General features: G+C 42.0%; 1 long non-coding RNA gene across 1 annotated transcript; it reads left to right on the top strand.

Annotated features, from left to right (window-relative positions):
- Positions 1-992: 992 nt before the first annotated feature.
- On the top strand, positions 993-2,197 carry LOC124902437 (uncharacterized). Its single transcript, XR_007062156.1, has 2 exons — positions 993-1,108; positions 1,427-2,197. It is a non-coding gene; the product is annotated as an uncharacterized LOC124902437 (long non-coding RNA).
- Positions 2,198-7,767: the final 5,570 nt, after the last annotated feature.

The raw sequence follows: 7,767 nt of genomic DNA, 5'->3' as shown, positions 1-7,767 counted from the left end.
AGAATTTTAAAATGTATAAACAGAATGTTTCTTCTGGTTGGAATATGAACACTGGCTTATAATTTCTTATCTTGAGACTTCCCATCTGGCTGGTCTTGGAAATATTTTTCTTTTTTTTCCCCCCTAGCAGTGCAACAACTAGCAATTAGAGTTTCAGAAATGCCAATTTTAATCACTACTTCCATTTCCAAAATAGAAAAACTTGCATGAACTACACAGTAGATAAACCCTCTTCATTTTATTCAGTTGAGTGTTTTTGAAAAGGTAATTTCAGTAAATCAAAGCCAGGGATAAGATATTCCAGAAATGTTAAGAAAATAGTGCAGATCCTTATAAATTATGGTCAGTTTTACTCTTAAGCTGGGCACTAATTTCACTGGCATTGATGTTTATATTATCCAGGTATCAACTTTAGTGCAGTTAGCTCACATAGAGAAGGGCTTCTCAACTTCAGTACTATTGACTTTTGGGTTGGCTAATTATTTGTAGTGGGGGGCTGACCTGTGCATTGTAGGATGTTTGTCAATATCCTTGGCCTTTACCCACTAGATGACAGTAGCACTAACTCCCATACCCCACCCTGTTGTGATAACCGTAAATACGTCCATCTGTTCCCAAATGTCCTCAGGATATGGGGCAAAATCACCCCGGTTGAGAATCAGTTATAAAGGATAAGATCTTGGCAACTTCTTCCTTTAAAAGCATTTAAATATTAAACAAATAAAGAGTGTTGAATTTGGATGTCTAGATCCAAATTCTTAACTTTAGTAAGTTAAGTCTTTTTTTTGTTTGTTTTTTGAGTCAGGGTTTTGCTCTGTTGCCCAGGCTGGAATGCAGTAGCAAGATCACCACTCACTGCAATCTGCCTCCTGGGATCACCACCCACTGCCTCCTGGGATCAAGGGATCCTCCCACCACAGTCTCTAGAGTAGCTGGGACCACAGGCATGCACCACCACTCCCAGCTAATTTTTTTTTTTTTTTTTTTTGTAGAGACAGACTTTCACCATGTTGCCCAAGCTGGTCCCACATTCCTGGGCTCAAGGGATCCACCTGCCTTGGCCTCTCGAAGTGCTGGTATTACAGGCATGAGCCACTATGCCCAGGCAGTAAGTGAAGTCTTAATAGAGATAAATAAATCAGAGCCTTGGTGAATCCCAGTTTGGAGTAATTTGAGAGACACCAGAAAAACACTCGTGTTTCCAAATACCACTTGATTTTCCCAAACAGGCTGCTATAGTGTTGGAAATTTCTAGTCTGAAATTTGTTCCTTCTGTTAAAATGCAAACATTCCTGAGAGGAGAATTTCTTTACACAAAAACTGAAACTTTAGTTTTCAGTTAAAAGCTAACATGTTATTAATATATAACTATATGTATATATAGGTTATTAATATATACTTATAATACTGTTCTACTTATGACAAGATCCTTCAGGAAGAAGACCCTGGCGAAAATTACCTTGCATATCAAGAGTTGGCGGATGAACACGAAGCAATCACCTTGGGAAAAGGAGTGATGAAAGTAGAAAGCACTAAAGAGATTCTTTATAGTTCTTGATGGGTAGCCTGAGTTGCTCTTGCCATGTTTTTGTTTGTTTTTTTTCACTCCTCACCGTATCTTTAAATCCTATTTTTAAAAAAAGTAATGAAGAGGTAGCCAAGATGTTCTTCAACAGATGAAAGGATAAATAAATGGTGGTACATCCAGATAATGGAATATTAATCAGTTATAAAAAGGAATGAGCTACTAAGCCATGAAAAGACATGGAGGAAACTTAATCCATGTTACTAAATTAAAGAACCCAATCTAAAAAGGCTGCATACTGTGTAATTCCAAGTATATGATATTCAGAAAAGGCAAAACTATGGAGACAGTAAAAAGATCAGTGGTTTCCAGGGCAGTGAAACTACTAAGTGTGATACTATAATGGTGGATACATGTCAGTAAACATTTGTCCAGATTCATAGACTGTACAACACCAAGAATGAATGCTGATATAAACTATGGACTCTGGGTGATACTGATATGTCAATATAGGCTCATCAATTGTAGCAAAATGCCACTCTGGTGGGGATGTTGATGATGCTATGCACGTGTGGGGGCTGGAGATATATGGTAAATCTCTGTACCTTTCACTCAGTTTTTCTGTGAGCCTAAAACTGCTCTAAAATAAACTCTATTTTTAAAAAAGGTAAAGAAGACTATATAGATGGTGTAGTAGTTGTTGTCTATTGCACTTTCTTTGCCACTTCATGTTGGGTGTCCCAAGTTAATTTTGGATAGTTACTGTAAATAAAATATAAAAGTCTAGAGAAGGACAGGTATCTAAGTCTATCATCTGTGCTAACGGGGAGGCCTGAGAGGTGTGGTGCCTGCTTTTCCTCCCTTGTTTCCTAACACATTAGTGACTGGCAATTTTGGACCTAGAAGATGGTTTGTTTCCTGGACCTTTCAGCACCCCTCACTAGGAAACACACCTTTCTAATCACTGAAGTAGTGCTCCATAAAAAGGAACTTTCTGAAACATAGGAGAGACACGGCGATCTGATGGCCGACATGCTGAAGTGGGTTCCAGGGTATTTTCATAAATCCCTTAGCAGTTCCCCACACTAGGCTTCCATTCAGGCTATGGGATTTCAGTTTTTCATGCTGGGTTTTTTTCTCATTGACTTTTCTTATGTAATTACTGTATCATGGCCCTCAGGCCATGACCAAACTCTAAGAATAGTTTGTGTTTATTTTTTTTTCCCATCGAATGTCACTTGCTTCTTCATTTCTTAATTTCTTCCTAAAGCGAAGGAGCCAAAATACACCACAGATCACAGATGGACTAGACAACAAGCATCTGCATTGCAGGGGCCCATGCAGAACCTGATTTATTTATGTAAACATTTTGCCACTTACTATATGAAGTTGTAGACTCCTCGACTAGTTACTGATCTTATACTTTCTAGTAGTTAACATAGCCCATTTTCAAAAAGTCCAACTGAACATAAAAGTAAAATGATTTTTTTTTTTTGAGACAGAGTCCCACGCAGTCACCCAGGCTGGAGTGCAGTGGTGTGATCTCAGCTCACTGCAAACTCTGCCTCCTGGGCTTGGGCCATTCTCCTGCCTCAGCCTCTCGAGTAGCTGGGACTCTGGGCATACGCCACCACAACTGGCTAATTTTTGTATGTTTTGTAGAGACGGGTTTTGCCATGTTGCCCAGGCTGGTCTCAAAACTCCTGAGCTCAAGCAATCCGTCCACCTTGGCCTCCCAAAGTGCTGGGATTACAGGCGTGAGCCACCGTGCCCGCCTAGTGTTAATAAAATGAAATATTCTTTCTTGTTTATTTCACCAGTTCTTACTTTCAGGCTGAATAGTATAACATTCTGCAGTTTACATTCTGCATTAACCTCATATTTTTTTTTTTAGGTTCCTTGCCTCAAATTGGACTAAGTGGCTCCTCTTTTGTAGTTTGACTTACATGTATCATGTAAGCAGTTGTCATGATATTATACTTGACTGACAGATTTCACAGTTGTCCCTTTTGGCATAACTTCCCCAATCTAGCATTTTGTTTTTACCTTTCTTTTCTCTACTCAGATTTTCCTGTAAGCTTTCACATAAAGATAGTATTTTATTCTTACTAATAGTCACAATAGAACACTAATACAGATGGCCATATGAGTGTTCACCTTTTAATAACTTGCTTTAGACTGTTTTCCTCTTAAAGTAGAGGGATCACTGGGTGTGGTGGCTCATGCCTATAATCTCAGCACTTTGGGAAGCTGAGATGGGAGGACTGCTTGAGGTCAGGAATTTGAGGTTACAGTGAGCTATGATCATGCCACTTTACTGCAGCCTGGGCGACAGGGTGAGACCCTGTCCCCCAAAAAATATACATATAGGGATCTATGAAAATAGATCCCAGTGTCTTACTGGGGTTGAAGAATATGGTCACCAAACCAAAAAGAGGTGAAGCGGCAAAAGCCTAGGAGCGCAGGCCGAGCGTGGGAAGCCAAGGCACAGCCACCTGGGCCATTTCCTCACCGCTAGGGGCAGGGACCAGAGAGGCAGGGGGATGAGCAAACCTTGAAAACTATATTCCTGTGTTGGCTTATACATTTCCTGAGGATGAAGACTACATCTACTTAATGTATTTTTGACAGAACCCAGGATGATAACAGGATGAACCCAGGATGACAGAACCCATGAGTATGTTAGCACATGCTAGTGACTGTGGGGCTTATGCCTTTTGTCCTCTTCAAGGGCATATTCTGGAGTACATTCCTAGAAGGGATGATAGTTGGGGAATGTTTTGGAGAAGTACGGACAGCACTGCAGAGGAGGAAAGGGAATCTGACGTGGAGGTGCTTTAATGTGTGCTTTGCCCAAGTGCTGAGAAGAATGGATTCTGATTGCTTTCCCCTTTTCTCCTAATAAAAAACGAGGAGAGAAAAGCTGTCTTATTTTAGATGTCTCAGCATCATGTACAAAGCATTAAAATGAACTGTCAAAGAAATTAACCAATCTGAGAATTTGTGATTGGTGATGGCACTGGCACCTCCCCATCTCTCCCATCCCTGGTGAGGGGTGCCCCTCAAAATGCTCTAGCTCCTGGCTGTAGTCACTGACTGTCTAAGCAGAGAGCACTCTTGCCCCATGCATGTGACTGCCTAGGTGTCAGGCCTTACCAGAAGCAGAGAAAAGGTCCTGGAAGGAGACTGCTTCCCTCTCACATCTTCTGCTGGTACCTTGGGGTCCCCCAGTGAAGCCAGGCTCTATCCTGGGTCCCTCCTAGGTGATCAGGGAAGGCTGCTCCCGGAATAGCCAGCAGTGGATGGGAGAATTGAGTGCAGCTGTGATAACTTGGATTACCTGAGAATTTGGAATAACTTTGGAATTCGAGGGAATTATCTAACTAGTCCTTATTCTACCCTTAAAGGAGAGTTAGGTGAAGATCCAAAAAATATCACCATGGAAATGAGCATATTAATCACCACGAGACCTTGGAAACTCAGGTGTCAGCCGTCATGCGTCAGAGCTGGGTGTGGTTTGGGAAGATACCACTCTGGGGTGGCATTTAGGACAAAAATGCAGCGCGGGGAAACTTGCCTAACAGTTCTCCTTCAGTGTCAGCAAATAGCCTTGATTGTGCTGCAACTGTGGTCCCTTCCACTATCTTACTTTCCGTCTATCTCAATGCCCCCCTCACACACACCCAGAGATGCTCACTTTGCCTCACTCTCTGTTCAACATTTGGCACGTTTCTTCCAGAAACCCCCTCCTCACTGTGCATTCAGTGCCACCATTCTCTCCGGATCGCGAGTCTTTGCTCCTTCCTGGATTGCCTCGGTGCCTCCTCTCCTCTGCGCGACCCTGAAATGCTGCATTCAGTTCAGAGGTCCTCCTTGAGCTCTTCTGGGGGAAGGCCAGTCGTTCCTTCCCTCTTCCTCTCTAACCTCCTGTGTTTAATCCTTTTTCTCGCTCCCACCCAATTTCAGTGTTCCCCAAGATCCACTTCTCATGCAAGGAGGCCTTGTTTTTTCAGGAATGAATCCTATGAGAAGGTAATTTGCTAAGTCCTTCATCAGATTTTACTACGTAGCCGTTTGATAGGAGTGCTGTACTAAACTGTGGGAATAACAGAAGATGTGCCTCCCTGCTGCTGGGAGATTAGAATCTCCCTCCAGACAGGACACACAGGAGCTGGAAGGAAGCAAGACGCAGGGTAAGGGGATTTGTGGAGCTCCTGTTACCTATTAACAAATACAAGCCTGGGCTTACAAAATGCACCAGAGGCCACTCTAGGCAAGATGTTTAGAAAAAGCCTCTCTGAGGATGCGCAGCTTGAACCAAGTCCCTACGCAGGAATTGGGAGCACATTGATGGGAAAGAGACAGGAGAGAAGTGAAGGCCCAGACTTTGTCTCTCTACTTGTGCATGGACAGAAGAGCCACACGGTGTTCTGTTTGGCCACAGGTGCATTTGTGTAGCCGACAGAGGCGTATGGTGTGATTTACTTTATAGAATTATTTCCAACCTTCAGGCATTCCTGCCTGAACTTTCCCACATGAGCGTCTACTCTCCCCTGATCCAGCCAGAGTGTGCATTCTCTTCCCATGTAGACATTTGTTCTCCTGCCCGGAGAAGCCTGCAGCTGTGCACAGGTCAGGGTCATGCAGCAAATCCCTATTTGACGAGTTTTATTTTTAACTGTACAAGATGGACTTTAGGTGATGGTGGAGTTTTCTCACTCTGAAGCTAAACAAAGAGAATTTTCTGCCTGCAGGAACAGGATTAGTGGCAACAAATTTTTCATGTTAGTGCAGTCCCGTACAGGCTGCCAGCTTAGTCTATCATAAAGAATGTAGGAAGCCTGGTGGATGCCGCTATTTTTATCTTGGCCCTTTGGTATCCGGCATCTAATTATTCAATTCACAAAGTACATTTCATGCTGCAATGTTTATTTTGTCTGCAGAGAAAAATCTTTTTGAAATTTTTGTGGAATTTACTGGTTGTGGAATGTTCACATTTTAGCAGGTGACTATTTGAGCATGTTAAAATTGCCTTGGTATATAGCAAGGGATACTGTTGGTTGGAGTAATACTTTGTTTTTGTTGTTATTATAGTTTAAGTTCTGGGATACATGTGCAGAACCTGCAGGTTTGTTACATAGCTATATACTTGCCATGGTGGTTTGCTGCACCCATCAACCCGTCCTCTACATTAGGTATTTCTCCTAATGCTATCCCTCCCCTAGCCCCCCACCCCTCAACAGGCCCCTGTTTGTGATGTTCCCCTCCCTGTGTCCATGTGTCCTCATTGTTCACCTCCCACTTATGAGTGAGAACGTGTGGTGTTTAGTTTTCTGTTCCTGTGTTAGTTTGCTGAGAATGATGGTTTCCAGCTTCATCCATGTCCCTGCAAAGGACATGAACTCATCCTTTTTTATGGCTGCATAGTATTCCATGGTGCATATGTACCACATTTTCTTTATCCAGTCTATCATTGGTGGGCATTTGGGTTGATTCCAAGTCTTTGCTGTTGTGAACAGTGCTGCAATAAACATACGTGTGCATGTGTCTTTATAGCAGCATGATTTATAATCCTTTGAGTATATACCCAGTAATGGGATTGCTGGGTTAAATGGTATTTCTCGTTATAGATCCTTGAGGAATCGCCACACTGTCTTCCACAATGGTTGAAGTAATTTACACTCCCACCAACAGTGTAAAAGCATTCCTATTTCTTCACATCCTCTTCAGCATCTGTTGTTTCCTGACTTTTTAATGATTGCCATTCTAACTGGCATGAGATGGTATCTCATTGTGGTTTTGATTTGCGTTTTTCCAATGACCAGTGATGCTGAGCTTTTTTTCATATATTTGTTGGCTGCATGAATGTCTTCGTTTCAGAAGTGTCTGTTCATATTCTTCACACACTTTTTGATGGGGTTGCTTGTATTTTTCTTGTAAATTTGTTTAAGTTCTTTGTAGATTCCGGATATTAGCCCTTTGTCAGATGGATAGATTGCACAAATTTTCTCCCATTCTGTAGGTTGCCTGTTCACTCTGATGATAGTTTCTTTTGCCTTGCAAAAGCTCTTTAGTTTAATTAGATCCCATTCATCAATTTTGGCTTTTGTTGTCATTGCTTTCGGTGTTTTAGTCATGAAGGCTTTGCCCATGCCTATGTCCTGAATGGTATTGCCTAGGTTTTCTTCTAGGGTTTTTATGGTTTTAGGTCTTATGTTTAAGTCTTTAATCCATCTTGAATT

Source organism: Homo sapiens, chromosome 10 (genome assembly GCF_000001405.40).
Source record: "Homo sapiens chromosome 10, GRCh38.p14 Primary Assembly".
Classification (NCBI taxonomy): Eukaryota; Metazoa; Chordata; class Mammalia; order Primates; family Hominidae; genus Homo; species Homo sapiens.
This window is presented reverse-complemented; position numbering and strand designations above follow the sequence as displayed.